This window comes from Homo sapiens, chromosome 4 (genome assembly GCF_000001405.40).
Source record: "Homo sapiens chromosome 4, GRCh38.p14 Primary Assembly".
NCBI lineage: Eukaryota > Metazoa > Chordata > Mammalia > Primates > Hominidae > Homo > Homo sapiens.
The window spans coordinates 46,731,434-46,751,425 of NC_000004.12; the positions used below are offsets into that span (position 1 = coordinate 46,731,434).

Consider the following 19,992-nt stretch of genomic DNA (forward strand, 5'->3'; position numbering starts at 1 on the left):
AATTGTTCTCCTTCAGCTTTTTGAATTCTGGGCCAGTTGAATGTGCAGCTCTATAGTGAAGGGCATCAATTTCTCCTGCAGGTCATCCATGTCATCTTAGATAGACAAAGTGAGAAAAAGGCACACCTTCCAATTTGTATTCCTGATTTCAGTGTTCCCAATTCCAGTTGGTCCTAGCTCTTCTCTACTTCACATGCAGCTTTCTTCCTTTACTGAGAACCATTCAACACCAGACATGGAGGCAATAACATTTTAAAGAGTTCTCCCCCAGCTCCCATATTTGCATTCATTTTAATGCCCATAATTAATCCTGTATTGCATACTACTCATACTGGTTCTGCCTCACTCATTAAATCCTGATACAATTAGTATGCAAAATATACCAAAAAAATCTATGAATAAGACAAATAACCAAATAGAAAAGCAGCAACATGAACAAACAAAAATCACAAAATAGAAGAAAGCAAAGAGCTAATACAGGATATCCAGCCTCATTAGTAATCAGAGAAATACAAATTAAAACATGAGCTACTCTTTTTTTTTTTTTTTTTTTTTTCTGAGACTGAGTCTCGCTTTGTCGCCCAGGCTGAAGTGCAGTAGTGCAATCTTGGCTCACTGCAACCTCCGCCTCCTGGGTTCAAACGACTCTCCTCCCTCAGCCTCCCAAGTAGCTGGGACTAGACTACAGGCACACGCCACCATGCCCGGGTCATTTTTGTATTTTTTTTTTTTTTTTTTTTTTGAGACTGAGTCTCGCTCTGTTGCCCATGCTGGAGTGCAGTGGCGCGATCTCAACTCACTCCAACCTCCACCTCCCTGGTTCACGCCATTCTCCTGCCTCAGCCTCCCGAGTAGCTGGGACTACAGTCACCCACCACCACGCCCAGCTAATTTTTTGTATTGTTAGTAGAGATGGGGTTTCACCATATTGGCCAGGCCAGTCTCAAACTCCTGACCTCGTGATCCGCCCAACTCAGCCTCCCAAAGTGCTGGGATTACAGGTGTGAGCCAGTGCTCCCAGCCATGAGCTACTATTTCACACTCATCAAAGGAACAAAAATATTAAAATGTTTGACAACTCTAAGAGTAAGTCTGGAGGTGGAACAAGAGGAAGTTGTTTACGTTGCTGGTGAAACTGTAAACCATTTAACGAGTTTGTAGAATGATTTAGAAATACTGTAAATGGGCACTCCCTAAGACCTACCAATTTCACATCAAGGAGGGACCATAGAGAAACTTTCAAATAGTAAAAATGGGGTTGGGCACATTTAGTCATCTCTATCTAGAGAATAACGATACTAATATATAACAGAGCTTGAGAAACAGACTGATTGAAGTTGGTTATCCAGTAGCAGGAGAAGGTCTGTACTGCCAACTGTGGTAGATATCCCCTAGAATAGTGCCAAGTGGTTCCTGCCATCAGATAATCATGCCCTTGTATGATCTCCTCCCCTTGTGTGTCAGCTTGATTTGATGGCTCGTTTCTTGTGAATAGAATGTGGTAGAGGTGATATGTCATGTGTAAGATTGGGTTACAAAAAGCTCCTGTCTGGGGCACCCTCTCGCACTCTTAAGTGATGCCAGCTACTATATCATCAGCTGCTCTATGGAGAGACTCACATGAGAAAGGAATGATGTTCCAGTCAACATTCAGCAAGATCATTAGGCCAGCCAACATTCTTATGAGTGAGTTTAGATGTGCTTCTTCCCCAAGTTGTGCCTTGAGAGGATCGCAGCCCTGTCTGGCAGTTTGGTTGTAGAAATGTCAGATCTTGAGCCAGGAGCACCCAACTAAGTCATGCTCAGATCTGACCCGCAGAAACTATGAGATAATAAGTGTTGTTTTAAGCCACCGAGTTTTGGAATAATTTGCAAAACAGCAATATAGAACTAATATGCCTTCCAATAATCATTGCAACCCACAATGATAAGCAAATTCTTAATTTCAGACTGATGGGGACTCTGAATTACCTAAAGCCACTCATTAATGCATTAATTCAAACTAGTTCAAAGCCACCAAGTCCTGTGATAAACTTATAAAAAAATTTGCAAAGCCTATGTTTTTATGGAGTTTTGTATGCAGGCAATAAACAAATAAATAAGTTAAATATATCTTAAGAGTGGGCTGCATGTGGTGGCTCACGCCTGTAATCCCAGCACTTTGGGAGGCAGAGGCGGGTGGATCACTTGAGGCCAGGAGCTCGAGACCAGCCTGGCCAACATGGTGAAAACCCATCTCTACTAAAAATACAAAAATTATCTGGGCGTGGTGGTGGGTGCCTGTAATTCCAGCTACTCGGGAGCCTGAGGCAGGAGAATCACCTGAACCCAGGAGGCAGAGGTTGCAGTGAGCTGAGATTGTGCCACTGCACTCCAGCCTGGGCGACAGAGTGAGACTGCATCTCAAATAAATAAATATATATATTAAGTGAGATTATGATAAGTGATATAGAAAAAAGTAAAGAAGCAAGAGAGAGAAAGCCAGGCCAAAATAAAGTCTGCAGTTTTAGAAAGGATAAAGCCCTCTTCTGAAAAGATGACATGAACAAAACCCAAAAAGGTGTGAGGGAGTCATACAGAACCCAGAAGTGCATGCCACCCAGAGGGAGGAGCCAGTAGAAACCTGTTGATGCAGGAGGTAAACTGGCCAGTGCAGCATTTAGGGGACCTGTGTACCTTTCTAAGGACTTTAGCATTAACTCTGGAATGAAATGAGAATTAGGTTTTGAATGAAGAGTCACAGAACTAGACTATGTTTTAAAATGAACTCTGGCTGATGAGCTGAAAAAAGATTGTGTGCGGTGGTGGGAGGCAGGTTTGGAGGACAGAAACTGTGGAGACAAGAAGGCTGGTTAGAAAGTTTTTTATAATAGTCTCCATGAATATAATGGTTCAGACCAGGGTGGGAATGATGAAGGTCGTGAAAAATGGTCAGTTTCTGAACACAGATAGTCCCCTACTTAGGATAGCTCAACCTATGATTTTTTGACTTTGAGGGGTTTATCTAGATGTAACCCCATCATAAAATGAGGAGCATCTGAACACACAATGGTTCAACTTTTTGACTTTACAATGCGTATGTAGGGTATTAATTGTATTTTCAATTTACAACATTTTCAATTTGCAATGGGTTTACTGGGATGTAATCCCAAGTCAAGAAACATCTATAGAGTTTCAAGGAAGATTCAACAGGATTTTCCAGCCAAATAAATTAATTTGTAAATTACATATGTGTATTTATTCACTGAAAGATACCTGGTGTAAGTCATTAAACCAGAGGAATACACGTTTTACTAATCCTACATTCAAATATTTCCTATTCATAATCCCCTGTAATCTATACCCACTGCTATTGTATGGCTCCCAGGCAATATAATGACCATTTGCAATGACTTTTTAAAGATTTAAAACACATTTTATTTTTTCAATTGTGCTATATTTTAATAAGCAGTAGAGTGCTTACATGACAAGTTGGTTTTTTAAACAATTCTGTCATTACAGCAACTGTGATGGTTACTGATGTTTCCACTCTTTTGGGGTAACTCTGCCAACAGGGGATAGGTTCCATTCTATTCCAATCTGAGTGGCTGTAAACACCCATGTAGCAACACAGAAAGCAGTTCCACTGGCTAGCACAGCATTACCATATTTATCATGAAAATCTGGTGAGTGTTTTACATGGCTATGTCTTGCCATGCTTTGCAGAATGCTTTGAATCTTGAGACTGCTTAGTGCATTTCTGGCCAAGGGAAACATCATGAAGGATTGCAGTTGCCTTCAGCTACTGGTCTATTTTGTTGCAAAGAGGCTGGAAAGAGAGAAAAGATATGCATTGATGTCCAATCTTTATTCAATTCCTTCCGCTTTGAATGTCTGGCTACATCACCCCTTGGAGTGGTGTTCAGGAATGTGAGTTTTGATATAACAATATCTGAATTTGAATCCCAGCTTTGCCACCGATTAGCTATATGAACTTGGGGCAATTATTTAACTTCTTTTTGCCTCAACATTATTACATGTGATAATCCAAAAGAAAACAACAACAAGGTAAGCATGTAATAAATGTTAGCTTTTCTACTCATCACAAATATCCAATGCATTGACTCTACAGACTACAAACTTATTAACATGGCTACAATAGACAGAAAGTCACAGAACACGCCATGCCTCCTCACTCTCCTCCTCCTCGTTTTCTCCCTCCTGCTTAACCCCTTTCCTTCTCCTTCTTTAACTGTAATACTTACCTTCCCCCTCCTACAGGCAAAATTCTGCTTGCCTTTGAAATTCCGCTCTAAGAGTTACCACTTCTGTGAAGTCTTTTCCATATCTCACTAAGTTGAATACACCCCTTTGTCTCTGGGTTATCACACAATTTACAAACTTTTTTTCATAACACTTAACATTGAGGAATTATCTTTTTAAATAGAAATATTTTGGGGAAGCAGTTTTGGTTCACAGCGAAATTGAGCAGAAGACATTGAGAGTTCCCATGTACCCTGACCCTATACACCCACAGCCTCCCTAGCTATCAACATCTTCCACCAGGGTTGTACATTTGTTGGAATCAATAAACCTACATTGACATTTCATGATTACCCAAAGTCCATAGTTTACATGAAGGTTCACTCCTGATATTGTACATTCTATAGGTTTTAACAAATGTATAATGACATGTATCCATCATTTTAGTATCATACAGAATAGTTTCAGTGCCCTAAAAAGCCCTCTGTGCTCTGCTTATGTTACCGAAACACCAAAGGTTTGGTCTCTGTCCTGCTGCTCACCACACAGAAAGCCAATCACTGAGACACCAAGTATTGCCAAGGAAGAAGGGTTTAATCAGGTACTGCAGCAGAGGAGATGGGAGCTCAGTTTCAAATCCATCTCCCTGACTTAAACCAGGGCTTTATATAGCAGGCAAGAAATGTAAAAATGTGTAAGAAAACAGGCATTTGGGAAGAGAAAGGAAGCAATCATGGTGAATGATGGGTCCAGCATCTGGTGTGGTGATCTGGTTTCATTTTTTTTTTTACTTTTTGTGAGAGGCCTAAAGGTCATTTCCTGAGGAAGGAACTCAGATAAAACAAATAAAAGTTTCAAGCTTCTTAACACTAGAAGGGTCAATTTCTATGTTTATCAAAAAGAACAGTCTACAGGGCAATGGTTCGGTTTCACCTATTCATCTTTCTGTTTTGACTTACTCCTGGCAACCACTGATCTTTTTACTGTCTCCACAGTTTTGCCTTTTTCAGAATGTCATATAGTTGTAATCATACAGTATACCTGTTCAGACTGGCTTCTTTCACTTCAAAATATACTTTTAAAGTTCATTCATATCTTTTTGTGGCTCGAGAGTGCATTTCTTTTTAGTGCTAATTAATATTCCACTGTCTGGATGCACCACAATTTATCTATTATTTTACTGAAGGACATCTTGATTGCTTCTAAGATTCAATTAGTACGAATACAACTGCTGTTGCTATAAACATCTGTGGGTAGGGTTTTGTCTGAATATATTTTTAACTAATTTAGGTAAATCAAGGAGCGTGATTGCTGAATCACATAATTTGTTTAGTTTTATAAGAAACTGCCTAACTGCCTTCCAAAGTGGCTGTACCATTTTGAGTTCCCACCAGCACTGAATGAGAGTTTCTTTTGTTCCACATCCTGGCCAGCATTTGATGTTGTTAGTGTTCTGGATTTGGGCCATTCTAATCGGTAAATAGGTGTTTCATTTGCAGTTCCCTGATGACATATAATGTCCAGCATCTTTTTATATGCTTGTTTGCCATCTTCATCTCCCCTTTGGGAAGTATCTATTTCAGGCCTTTCGCTTATTTTAAAAATTCAGGTTGTTCATTTTCTTATTGTTGAATTTTAAGAGTTCTTTGTATATTCTGGATAACAGTCCTCAATTCGATATGGATTTTGTAAATACTTTCTTCAAGCCTGTGGTTTGCCTTGTCATTCTCCTAAGGAATTATCTTTTTATTCTCTTCTGATAAACTGCAAGTTCTCCAAGAGCAAGGGAGGTAACTGCATATAAAGTAGCTGACACAAAAGCATAAAAAGATCTTTTTAAAACCAATCTGAAATATAAGTGAATATTGGTATCCTCATAAGAAGCTAAAATGAATGCTAAGAACAAGCCAAAATACAATGAAATTAGATGTGCATTTCATAATAGCCAAAATTATTTTATTTCTTAGATAGTTACAAGAAATCTGGAAGTAGAAACATAAAATAATTCTTTAAATTTATCTTCCTGTGTGCAAGTTGTCAAACAACACTCTGTCTTCAGCAATGACATATCTTAACTGTGGCCCAAACATAGGCAACACAGATATAAAAGGCCCTGAGGTCAATACTTGTAAACATAACTATTCACTGAGATTTTCCAGCTCAGAAGACTTTATTCCAACTTTGAAAACAAGACCCCAAGGTTCTCTTTTATTTCCTACCATATGGTAAGTGGTACTCATCATGATTGTGACAAACAGGGCAACCAGAGCCAAATTAATTTCTTCCGAGGTTCAAGATATTAAAAAATGTTTCCTGTTAGTCATGAATCTTCCCACCCAAAGACACCAAGGTTTTCATTTGAATTGAATTCAGAGAGTAGGCAGAAGGTGACATCGGTCAGGGTATGACAGGTGCAGCCTTAATCCAGTACAAAAGGACCTGTGCCACACATTGCTTTCATTCTTTAGGAAGACACATAACCAAAGAATGATTTGTGATAACAGGGATTTCTAGTGGGTCGGCTCATGCTTGCTGCTTTATGACAAATTGATTTCATTTTTCTTATACTCATGATGTTACATTTAAATTCAGATCCTTTGTCTCTAGTGACATTGATCACATTTCTTAGAAGCTTAGTTCATCCTTTGGCTATTCCCATATCTATAAAGCTTTTCTTTTCCATCTAGCCTGAATTTTCTTGAACCAGTAAGTCTATTACTAAGAATTCTCCTTTAGGAAATCCTTCCATAGTTTGCAGTTGGCATTTCATCCTATAATAAACAAACTGCAGTCTCTTTGCTCTTTTTCTTTTCCTTGTCGGCATCAGCTACATCCGTCTCAACTGCCTTCAGATCTATCTTATCTTTATCTTTATAAAATACATGTAAAAGCTAAGAAAATTCAAGGAATTTTCCATATTGTTTAAACCCATATTACATACCTCTACAATAAATTTTGTGTTATCAGTAAGTCCTACTCCTATTATCTAAAGAACTAAAGCTACAGGTTCTAATATCCATATGAAAGCATAAAAAAGAAATTCAATAATATAGTAGGTAAAGGAAATGTTTCTGAAAGTAGATCTTTCTGACAAAAATAGACTACAAAAAGATAGAGGAAGACAGATTTCTCTAGGTAGTAAAAACAAAGTAAAAGTTCCCTCATGCCCATGGCAGTAAAAGAAATATGTTCTGAATAAATATAAATGGTTAAAGGGAGTGAAGTATTCATTGAAGTTGAAAGACTGATTGTGTCATCTATTATATGTAGTCATCTTAAAGTTCTTTCTGCAAAAAATAACTAATACTTGATCTCAGTCTAACTACAATAAGGAAGTATATAAATCTGAAGCTTCACTGGTAACGATAATAATTTCAAATCGCTGAAGGCTATCAAAAGAAGTAAAACAACAGTGTAGTAAGGAAACTAACATTTATTGAGTATATACCTGTGTGTTAAGACATTGTGCCAAGATTTTGCACATCTGAAAAAATGGTGTGGAAGGATGACTGTTTAACCTTGTTTTACACCTAAGAACAAATGACAGGAAAGGATGTGAATGTAAGTCCTCTGATTCTAAATCCAACTAATTCTTCAACCATACCATGTTTTCTTAAAGTGTATTCAACTCTGAGTATTGGAAAATGATCAAACAAACCAAACCAAACCAAAACAAAACAAAACAAAACAAAACCAAGCTGGTTACCAGAGATGGCTCTTTAATTGGAAATGGTTCACAGTACTTTGCTATTTATTTACCTATTAACTACTGTACGTTACAGCCTGGGATAGATGTCATCAGCACAATGTCTACTCTAAAGAAGCTTATGGTATAGTGGAGAAATAAATAATTATTGCTCTACATAAGGAAGTAGGCTAGAAACTAGCACAGGGTGTATTTAGTTCACAGAGGAGGGGGCGTTTTATCCTGAGATCCTAGGAATGGTTTTAGAAGAGATGATACCTAAGCTAGATCTTGAAATATTATTTTGAAATAGACAGAAACAAAAATTGTTGGTGGGGAGGAATACAGAGATGGAGAAGCAAAACGTAAGCACACAGGCTGGAATTAATACAGAGACAAGGCAATCTGGTGAGCTCGGTAACACTACGTAATAAGCATTGAAGCAACAAATGCCCAACAGATGAGCCTGGAGACATGAGAAAAGAATGGCACACTGGGGACTTTAAATGCTTTGCTATGGCATTTGACTCAATTCTACAGGTCAGTGTTTCCCATTATTTAAAACCTTTGCTGTTTTAATACTCACAAACTTTGCTGTTGAGTTAACAATGAGAATTTTTAATTTATTAATAAATTAAATCAAAATTCATTTTTAATTTTTTATTTTCATGATAATATAAAAATAATATGAGACCTGGATGATGCAGCTTATCAATTTCTAGTGTCTCTGTTTATCTTTGTTCTGCATTTTAGCTGCAAAGGTATATAGCAATTATTTGCCCTGGGTTAATGCAAAAAGAATGGATGCAGCTTTTATGTTAAAGTGTTCGTTTGCAAGGGACAAAATAAAGAATTAGAAGAATTGAGTCATACCAAAGCTTACTAACCACAGACATGTGAAAATAAAAGAACTATGATCACTACAAACAGTGTTAGAGTTTCAGGACAATGTTAACTGTCATACTGTTAACATGACAAATTTGATCTTTATTTGTTGTATAGTTTGTTTCATTTTTTATTTGAAAACATGTTTTGGTTTTATCGTTGTATTAAGCTCCCAATATAATGAAGATCAATTCAGTTTCAAGTTTACCCATATGTAAGTTATTTTGTAATAAAATAATTTAAGATGGTACAAGTGATGAAATAACTTTAAGAAGATTCCAAACGTAACTCAAGTTTGAGAAACATTCCTGTAGGTGAGGAGAAACTATTGATTGGTGTAATCAGAAAACACATTTTACAAACGTAATTGTTAGGTGTAAAATGGATGGAGAGATGACAAAAATGCCAAAAATTTAAGATGTTAGTTAACTATTGATGGCAATGCTTAATGAAAAAGAAAATAATGATCTAAATTAAGTACTCATACCAGAAATAGAAAGAAGATAGAATCGAGAAATATAAATAAAATAAAAATCAGATCAATTTAGTAAGTAAGTTACTCTAACTAAATTGAGTATTCCATTCACTTAACCTCTGGGTTGATTTCACCCAAAACCTCTGTGCTGATTTCTGTTCAAAATCAGCAGATATTGACACTGTAGCTTGTTGCTGACCTTGGGAATCAGAGTTTGGGTGATCTAGGCACCGAATACTGAAAGGTCAAAGCATACATAATTAAGGTGTGCCACAGAAAGGCAGGTTTAGATGCCTGAGTAGAAGGGGGAGGCATCTTCAAAAGGATTTGCTGTATGATCCAAAAACAAAATAATAACTGTATCCAGTCTAAGTAAGTATAGCCCAACATGGACCAACAAATGACCCACTTAGCTTCGATATAGGCTTTTTATGTAATTTCAAGAAGAAAACAAAACAGAGTCCTATTTCTCACATTGCCCAGATATTACTCTTAAATAGTTCAGAGGAAGATGAAGCTCAAGAAGGCATTAAGGGGTATATCAGGGTTTCCCAATCTGGATACAACTGATATTTTGGTATGAATAATTCTTTGTTGGAGAGGGGAAAAGTAATCCTGTGCATTGTAAGATGTTTAGTAGCATCCCTACCTCTACCCACTAAATAACAGCAGTAGTATCCCCCAGTTTTGACACCATAAATGTCTCCAGACCTTGCTAAATGTTACCTAGGGTGCAAAATCATTCCCAGTTCAGAACCACTGCTGTATATACAGAAAGGTGTATCCTCCCCTATCACTTCTCCGCCATGAATGACACCATTCTATACAATAGAGAAGGCAACTTAAAATCTAAGAAAATAAATTATCCTGGTCCCTACCATGGGATGCAAAAATGTTGCCCATCAACATTTTTCCTGAACTAATCCCAATATTTTAAATGGTTTATGATACAACTCAGATGAATCACTTAATCTACCTGGACAGCTGCTTACCCCCTATAAAATAAAAAAGTTGAACTAATTTAGTTTTTCCAAACCTATCTGATCCTAAAAGTCATCTGGAATCTTTATGACAAAATGTAGATTCCTGGGCTCAATTTCAAATGTACTGTAACAGAGTCTCCAAGGGGAGTAGCCTGAGAATCTGTATTTTTTAAAACAAATTCTCAGGAGAGTTTTATCATCAGAAATATTTATGGAACATTGAGTCAGATAATCTCCAAGGTACTATCCAGCTCTAACACTCTGGGCTTTTCCTTGGCGGAAAAATAAAAAGAAGCATTTTAGGAAGACCATTTATTCTTTTAGGCCACTGAAAGAGTACAATAGTAATTGAATCTACTACCATGGTAATTTAGAAAGCAGTACCTGAGTGACCTGAAAGAGTTATAGGGACCCCCTGGGAATAAGTTAGTCAAAAGAAACATTTGGTAGCATTTAAAAACATTAAAAGCATTAGTAATACAGGTGTTCTGCTGTATAAATGAATGATACACTTTTGGAGCTAGGACTCCTGGACATTACTCAACTGAAATACCTTGATTTCCACTTGCTTTTATTTCCACTCTTCTTTTTACAGCTTCATGATATCAATGCAAAATAAGAAACAATAAAAAAAAGCAATCTTCTTGAAATGGAAATGCACATAACCTGCAGTGTCTTCAATTCATTTATGTATTTGTCAGCAGATGATGATGCTCAAGTAGGGATTAAGTGTACACGGTGCAAAGTGTCCCCTTTCACAATATATTCAAGTTTTCAGCCATTTCATAACAGGAAATATGGGAACTCTGAAAGAAGCAATGCCGCTGGTAAAAATGCTGAACAATGGTTCTATTTTATATGTAATGGCATCATCTCCTAAGTCACTGAATTGATGGATAGTACAACCATTTGCTTAAGGCTGTGTTTTATGTCACTTCATTAAGCCTAAAAAGTTACAGAAATGGATGCTACCTAAACAAACAGAAAGGCAGATTATAGCAGTGAATTGTTATGCCTGGAGGAAAAATAAGAGAGTGGACAAAGAACCTGTGAGCTGGTGTCCTCAAATGCCATATGTTGCCTGAAGAGTAAAGGGATATTGAGGTAGGCACTCTCGCTCAGATTCTTCCCAGTCACAGTCTAAATGAACAGATCATTTCTATCCCATATGGAGTGTTGAAAGTATTCAGTAATGCCCAGTCTGAGAATAATCACAGTGTTCATTTAGGCAGTTTCTTTTATGGAGCAGATCACATTAAGGTGGTTCACTCATTAAGTACCCATAATATTTTCTTTAATCATAAGGTCCTTCCAACTATACTCACTCTTTTTCCTTTCTGATAGCTATGAGTAAGAGATAACAAAACAGTGGCATACAGGTTGAAGGCTTTTCTGTGTGTCACACTGTGAGTCAGTGTCCCAACTGTGCAACAATTCTTATTTTGTTCATTATTAAACTTCAAGTAGGCCCAACACATTTCCTCAAAGTGGATGTCTATGTTATTTTGACATTACAGTACCTTTCAAATATGTACAGTTCACCAGCTAAGGTCCCAAAATGTGCTAGTCCCTTAGTGTAATCACATTTCTGCATTCAAATCTTCAGCTTTGCAGGGCAAGATCACAATTACTTTGCACAGGTATCTAAAAAGGACAAACCTCTGAGAATCTGTCTCATGCTAATGGAACTCTCAGAAACTGATGTATAAACTGGAATGTAGGAATGTATTTCATTAACTTAAAAAAAGTATATTCCATCCCAGTGGCTGAAATACATAGTCTCTTAGCTTTAATAGTTTGACAGTGATTCCAATTGAAAAGGGATCTTATGTCAGTATTTCCCAAAATATGCCTATTTCACTAGTTCTCTTTGATGTTATATTAATAGAAGTTACTTGAAAACGGGGTTTCGATGTTATCTAAGTTTTGAGAAGTATGCAGCTAACAAAGTCAAATTTTCTTTATTGAAGTATTTTTCCAACCTCTATTGTGCTAAACAGTGATTCTTTGAGAGGGATGGCATGTGGTGTATTCCAAATGTAGCTAAACATGCCATGCTTTTTTTCCCCCTGAAGCATTATCTCCAGATTAGTGTTTTGCAGAACACAATTAGGGGAAAACCAAAGGATGCCTCTGTGTTCTCAATATTGTTACATCACTGTACTCATTTCCAAAGGCTTAATGGATCCAGGAGGCATCTCAAAAACTAAATCATTTCCTTGTGGGAACTTTTAACATAAGATTCAAGGAGTACAGGGTGTGTGGTAATCCCAGTTTGTCTTAACAACACTCATAAGAGCAATGAACTCTAGCCTTCATTATATGATTCTAACTTTGGCAGTTTTAATATTTGTGCAGATGTTTCTCTGGTTTCAACATCTGAAATTGACCCAATGGTCCCATAGTTTTTTTTTTGTATAAACATAGAAAATTGACCCTTCTTGTTTTAAAGCTTGAAAGTTACATTTGTTTCATCTGAGTTCCTTCCTCCGAGAAGGATCCCCAGGCGTCTCAAAAAGCATCAAAGTACCAGATCCCCGCATCCAGACAATGGGACACCAGTCCCCTCATTCATCATGATTACCTCCTTAGGCCTCCTGAGCTCCTATTTTCCTATGCATTGCTACATTTCTTCCCTGCTATAAACCCTTAATTTCAGTCGGTCGGAGAGACGAATTTGAGATTGATCTCCCTCCCATCTCCTTGGCTATAGCAGCCAACCTCTGCTATAATCGTTGTCTCAGTCATTGGCTTTCTCTGTGGTGAGCAGCAGAACCTAGACCAAACCCGCGGTGTTACGGTAACACATCCATCTTTATTAATTATATAGACTCTGAATAAAAATATTTCATGATTCTACGTGGCCATTAAAGGTGAATCAATGACCCCTCATTGCATAATTTGAAACTTTCATTAAAACTTTGAAATGGGCTTGTCAAAGTCATTTCTGCCTTCAATCTATCACTGATATATTTAGGTAAAAGTATACAGGAAACATTGGCCTGTTTAACTTTTAGATATCAAAGATATTTTAATTTTTTTTTTTTTTTTTTTTGGGAGACGGAGTCTCTCTCTGTCACCTAGGCTGTAGTGCAGTGGCGTAATCTCGGCTCACTGCACCCTCCACCTCCCAGGTTCAAGCAATTCTCCCGCCTCAGCTGGACTACAGGCGCACGCTGGCACGCCCGGCTAATTTTGTTGTGTTTTTAGTAGAGACGGGGTTTCACTGTGTTGTCCAGGCTGGTTTTGAATTCCTGAGCTCAGGCAATCTGCCTGCCTCAGCCTCCCAAAGTGCTAGGATTACAGGTGTGAGCCACTGTGCCCAGCCAGATATTTTAATTTTTAAAGACACATTTACCAATTGTTTCCATTTTGCATTAAAATTGTTTGCAGTTGCCAACCAGAACTCAAGCCAGTAAGGGTCCAGTCCAGAAGTTAATTTTGATAAAACTACCCATTTAGATTGGAATATTTAGCACTGCAAAGTAATCTTTTCCACCTTGCTTCTGCAAACTCCAGATTATTTATTTCCAACTTGGACTATCTCTGTGCTCCTAAATTCTGCTCAAAATATACCTGTTAATTAATCTTTTTATGAATAAGGCTCTTGTTATTGCTATCACCTAGATAACTTATGGTGCATTCGCAGAGAAATTTCATCTGATGAGAAGAACACATAACAGCATTGAAGTAGTAACTCTAATCATTGAAAGCTGTTTTACTAGGCCAGTGCTTTCAGTATAATTTTCTTTTTTTCACTTTCATAACATTTTGGAGACTTTAAAAAAACTTTTAACAAGATATTGGTAAAAATAACTTTTAACAAGATATTTTACCTATCCTTTTTTCCCCCTTGGATTCATTATTTGTAAGTGAGAAAAACTGGCCAGAGGGGCAAACTTTGGTACACTGATTTTTTTTTCCTTCTTGTAGATGCCTCAGCAGAAACAGTGAGACAGGATGCACTTTGCTAAACTTTGGGGCAGGGTGCTTATTTTAGTGAACTGATATTTCATTTTAGTTTTTCTTTTAAGTTCCTGAGGGAAGGATCTTAAGGAAGAAAGCAAGCCTGAAAGAGGTTACCCATCTAAAAACATGCAACAAAAAATCAGAATACAGATTTTTGTTTTGAAATCCTACAATTTCCAATTACATTCTTGTTTCAGAGAGGTTACAAGGTTTCAACCTCTATTTCATTAATCTAACGGAGTCTAAAATTTCTTAAGTCTAAAAGGGCACCCCTAAACTAAATTAACATAATCATCTGAATATTTGTTAATTAGAAAAGTAAAATTTCTATGCAAATAGGCCAGAATTTTCAAACACTAGATACAGTTTATATAGTTTAGAGCCACTGTTGATAATGGAATGGTAGGTTTTCTTATACAGATAATATATTTTATCATATTCATCAAATAAAAAACCATCAGATCTGAAAGACCTAGAGATCACTTTATATTGCCCTTTAATATTTTAATAATCTTTTGGTCACTGGCCATTCATGACTTGATGCATGTTGAAGAACAATGTGGGTAGAAATTAGAGTGTGAATGGCAAATAGTAAATACACAGAACCCAATACTCCTTTCCTGGCTTTATACTCTATTTGAGGAAGAGGCAGAGAGCCAAACTCATATATGTGTTTTCTAATGAAAAGAAATTATAAAAGTGGCACAAAGATCTAAGTGTAGAACAGGTAAGGGACCTAAATCTTTTGCCCTCCTCTAGAATCAGGGCATTGACCAAAAGTGGAGCATGGAGTACGCTGTCACCAGAGGTAGGCAGAATGGATATTGAATGGGGCGGAAACAAAAGATGTCCAGTATACATTGAAAGTACAGTGGAAACAGAGGTTTATTCATTGAGAGAGACCAGTGGACTAGATTTTCTAAAGTTTCTTCCTCCTCTATGATTTTGTTTCTATATCTAAAGTTTCATATAAGTGTGATACACTGCCCCAGAGGAGTCTAAGGCTGGGGCAAATCTACAATGTGTGAGGATGGGAACATGCAGTCTTTTTAAGCAACTTGTTTCCACAAATAAAAGTTGCCCTTTCCAAGGTTTTTAGTGCATGACAAGATCCCTTAGAAAACCCTAAATAGCACTACTTTGTTACTTAAACTTATTTTGTTTACTTAAACTTGATTAAACTGAGCTCCTATTATGTGACTACAGCCTACTAAACACAGGAATTACCATAAAAATAATGGATAAGAATGATTTATCTTTTCAGGAATGCTCAGCAGAAGAGGCAGATAATGATAAGGTTTCAATGTGCAAAAAGTAATAAAAAATATGATCAGGCTGCTATGTCACCAAAAATATGAGACATCTTTCCCAAACAAACAGACCAGGAAAAGCCTTCTGGAGTAAGTTTACCTATATAACATTTGTTATACAAGTAAACTCGTGTCATGGGGGTTTGTTGTACAGATTATTTCATCACCCAGGTATCAAGCCTAGTATCCATTAGTTATTTTTCCTAATCCTCTCCTTTCTCCCGCCCTCCACCCTCCAAAAGACCCTAGTGTGTGTTATTCCCCTCTATGTGTCCATATATTCTCATCATTAAGCTCCTATTTTATTTTATTTTATTTTATTTTATTTTATTATTTTCTGAGTCAGAGTCTCGCTCTGTCGCCCAGGCTGGAGGGCAATGGTGCAATCTCGGCTCACTGCAACCTCTGCCTCTCACGTTCAAGCGATTCTCCTGTCTCAGCCTCCTGAGTAGCTGGGATTACAGGTGTGTGCCACCACGCCTGGCTAATTTTTGTATTTTTAATAGAGACGGGGTTTCACCATTTTGGTCAGGCTGGTCTTGAACTCTTGACCTCGTGATCCACCCGCCTCAGTGTCCCAAAGTGCTGGGATTACAAGCATGAGCCACTGTGGCTGGCCTTAGCTCCCACTTATAAGTGGACTTTTCTTCACCTATCAAGGATAAAATATAGTTTTCAAACACTTCTCCTTTAAAGGTGACCTTCAAGTGCAACCATATATAATCAAGAGAATCTCCTTTAATGTCAAATTCCTAATGACAGCATATATAATATTGATATTATACTTAAGCATCACATTGGAATAAAGCTCCTTCTGGCTTTTTGCCAATGATGTAACACATTTTAATCTTGATTGAACATCATGTTGTAATCACCATAAAATTTGTCTTTAACGTTACTATGAAATAATAGCCGATATGCCTCACAGACATCTTTAAGAACAAACGTAATTTATAATACTGAATATATACAAAATAACCAGAACCAAGATAGTTAAAATCTAATTGTGCTTAGAATTAACAGTATCTAAAGTGGAGCCATTTATATTTACTTCAAAGTTCATGATGTTGCATCAACACCTATAACTTTCTGATTTACATTAAAGAACCAGAAAGAATAAATTTAAAAATCTTGGAACCAATACTGGCCAATTCAATAGTAGCCATGCTTCATAAGCACATGCTTCATCCAGGACCAGACTTAAGGTAGATTTATGAAGGTATTCCCTTAAGTATGTCTTACAACAATTGTCACAAATTATCTTAAAAGCCTACAAATTATTACTGCTCAAATACTGGCAATGACCAAAAATATTGATAAAGCATATACCCACCATGAAAGTACCCTACATAAAACATTATTTTATTTAACTGAAGAAAATAGTCTCAAAACAAAAAAATACTTTAGGCTAAAACAGCAATTTATACTGTGTGAACTGTACACAGCATGAGAATATTATATAATTGTGGTGGGCAAGAGCAGAGGGGGCTGCCCACAGGAAAAGGAATCCAGGTTCAGACAACTATTCAAAAAACCTTGGCCATTTCCTGAACTTCCAGTCACTCTTCTTTCACTCCATGCAGTTTTCATTCCCTAATTCTATATCAATAGGTAGTCCAAAGGTCAATGGACTCTCTATCCCGCAAAATGAACATTTTAGATCACTTTTCTTGACTTTTCACTGCAATAATACCAATTATTTCTTTCCTGGAAACTCTTCTTCTATTAGCTTCCATGATATTCCCTTATTACTCTTCATGTCTATATGGCTATTTCTTCTTTACAAACTCATCTTCTAACAAATTCTTAGAAGTAGGAGTTCTTCAGGGTTCACTCATAGGTTCTCATCTATTTTTGCTTTTTATGTTCTCTCTCTCACTAGGTAGTTCAACCACACTAATAAACTTAATTGTCATGGGCAATTAGATGACTCCCACGTTATATCTGCATATATGAACTCTCTTGTTACTTCCAGAGAAATACAGTACATCAAACTTCCTTCCCAACATTTCTCCTAAAATAGCTCAAAGTGTCTGCAAAATCAATAGAATAAGTGTACAATCATGCTCTTCTACTCCCAAGTTTGATCCTTATCAATGTTTCATCCTTTATGATTTTGTTTCTATATCTAAAGTTTCAAGTAAGTGTGTTACACTGCCTGGGACTGATGCTCATCCCAGTGAACAGCATCTCCATCATTTAGCTGAGCAAGTTAAATGTAGAAATAATTCTTGATGCCTTCAGCTCCCTCGCAATATATAATATTTAATTCTTTAATTTTGACATTTAAATTAAATTTTAAAATATTTTAAAATATCTCAAATCTGCTAACTTTTCTCTATCCAAAATGTCTCCATCCTAACTTAACTTCATTTCATATGCTTTCTTTAAATGGTCTTTCCACAATACCTCTGCCATTCCCCATCCTCCATCTATTTTCCCAACTGCTAACAAGGTAGCCTAAGAGAAGAAACATGACTATATCACATCCACAATGAAAACTCTTTGTTATACTCACTATGTGATAATTTACATTAAAAATATTGTAGTATAAATAGTGTTATGTACATGTACATAAATTAACTTCAATTTACAGTGTAAGGATTGTTAGTTTGCATCTGAAGTACACTAATCAGAAATCCATACTCTAGGAATGGCTACAAGATGTACCTGTCACATAATTATAGAAGTATAAACCAGAGGGTGTGTTAATTCATCTAATGGATGTTAGAAATACTTTTTCACTGATGAGATGAATGATATTCAAGATATGTGGTTGATTAGAAAGGTTGTGTCAGGCCTAATGCTTTCATAGGGACAAAGTATGAGAATCTGCCAAGTATAGCACTCTAACACACTGGGAATAATAATTCAGATCTAGAGTTCTATTGGTCACAAGTTTCTCCTCTGCACAGAGAATTCTATTATCTGATTCAACTACCAAACCGGATGCTCCTACCATTAAAGGAATACCATTGGCTTTATTTTAATGTAAGGAGTATGCCAAAGGACACAGAGTAAGGACTTCACTGGGTGTACATTCCTATTCTTATGTTCTATCCAATTCCACAGAATAAGTTTAAGAATTTCTTTTATTGGCCAGGTGCAGTGGCTTACACCTATAATCCAGCATTTCAGAAGGCCAAAGTGGAAGGATCGCTTGAGGCCAGGAGTTAAAGACCAGCCTGGACAACACAATGAGATCCCATCTCTACACACACACACACACACACACACACACACACACACACACACACACACATTATCCAGGTGTGGTGGCACATGCCTGTAGTCCTAGCTACTCAGGAGGCTGAGGTGGAAGGATTGCTTGAGCCCAGAAATTGGAGGCTACAGCGAGCTATGATCATGCCACTGCACTCCATCAGCCTGGGCAAAAGAGACTTTGTCTCAAAACAAAAACAAAAACAAATAAATGAGAATTTCTTTTATTATAAGGACATGTATATATGATTATAATGACATCTAGTATCAAGACTCTTTATGTTCCTAAATATAACTATTAAAGAGTCCAGATATTTACCAAAATAACTTGAAAATGGTGGAAAGGTCAATTGTTTTAAGTCAGGACAGAATACCACTCAATGGTTTCTAACTTCTTTTAAGGTAAAGGCTAACTTCTTTGATACCACTTCTTCAGTCTGCCTAGGCTGCCCAAACAAAATACTAGAGCCTGCATGGCTTAAACAACAAAAATACATTTTCTCAAAGTCCTGAAGGCTAGAAATTCCAATATCAAGGTCCAGCAGGGTTGTTTCTAGTGAGGGCTCTTTTGCAGACTTCCAGATGGCCAGCTTCTCGTCATGTCCTCAAATAGTGGAAAGAAAGCTCATTTTGATGTCTCTTTCCTTATAAAGTCACCAGCCCTTTCAGATTAGGGATGCACCCTTATAACCTCATTTAATCTTTATCACCTCTTCACAGACCCTATCTCCAAATACAGACACACTGAGGGTTAGGGCTTCAAATTATGAATTTTGGGGAGGACACAAACAGTCCATAACAATGAACTATAAAGCTTTCATGGTCCTTGACAACTTAATCAGCAACATTTCACACAAATCTCCTATTCACTTTCTACATCCCAGTGACCTTCTTTCAGTTTTCTGGAATAGACATTCCTTCTTCCCAAAGATTTTTTTTTTAGTTTTGTTGCTTCTCACTTCACATAGTCAATTCCAACTCATCCTCCTGTCATCAGCTCAAATTGTTCGTGGGGAGATATTTACACTCTCTCATCTACTGTTTCAATTACTTCAAAGTGACAAACTAGGTATATGTCATACATCATTTAAAATTTTGCAAAAGCATACATATGAACTTGTTGATTCTTGGTGGTAGAGTGTATACATGTTATTTGTTGAATGTTTATATGTCTACTTTTATATCCACTTCTCACATTAACATTTAATTCTCCTTTCACTT

General features: G+C 36.9%; 1 protein-coding gene across 11 annotated transcripts in view; it reads right to left on the minus strand.

The window, feature by feature from the left end:
* Positions 1-3,393: 3,393 nt before the first annotated feature.
* Positions 3,394-19,992, minus strand: part of COX7B2 (cytochrome c oxidase subunit 7B2) — a 174,419-nt gene continuing 157,820 nt past the window's right edge. For all 11 annotated transcript variants that reach the window (NM_130902.3, XM_047449721.1, XM_011513633.3 and 8 more), the window contains one exon: positions 3,394-3,808. In NM_130902.3, coding sequence (NP_570972.2) covers positions 3,514-3,759 — 246 coding nt within the window. In that variant the 5' untranslated portion in view covers positions 3,760-3,808 and the 3' untranslated portion in view covers positions 3,394-3,513. The remainder of the gene's footprint in view (positions 3,809-19,992) is intronic.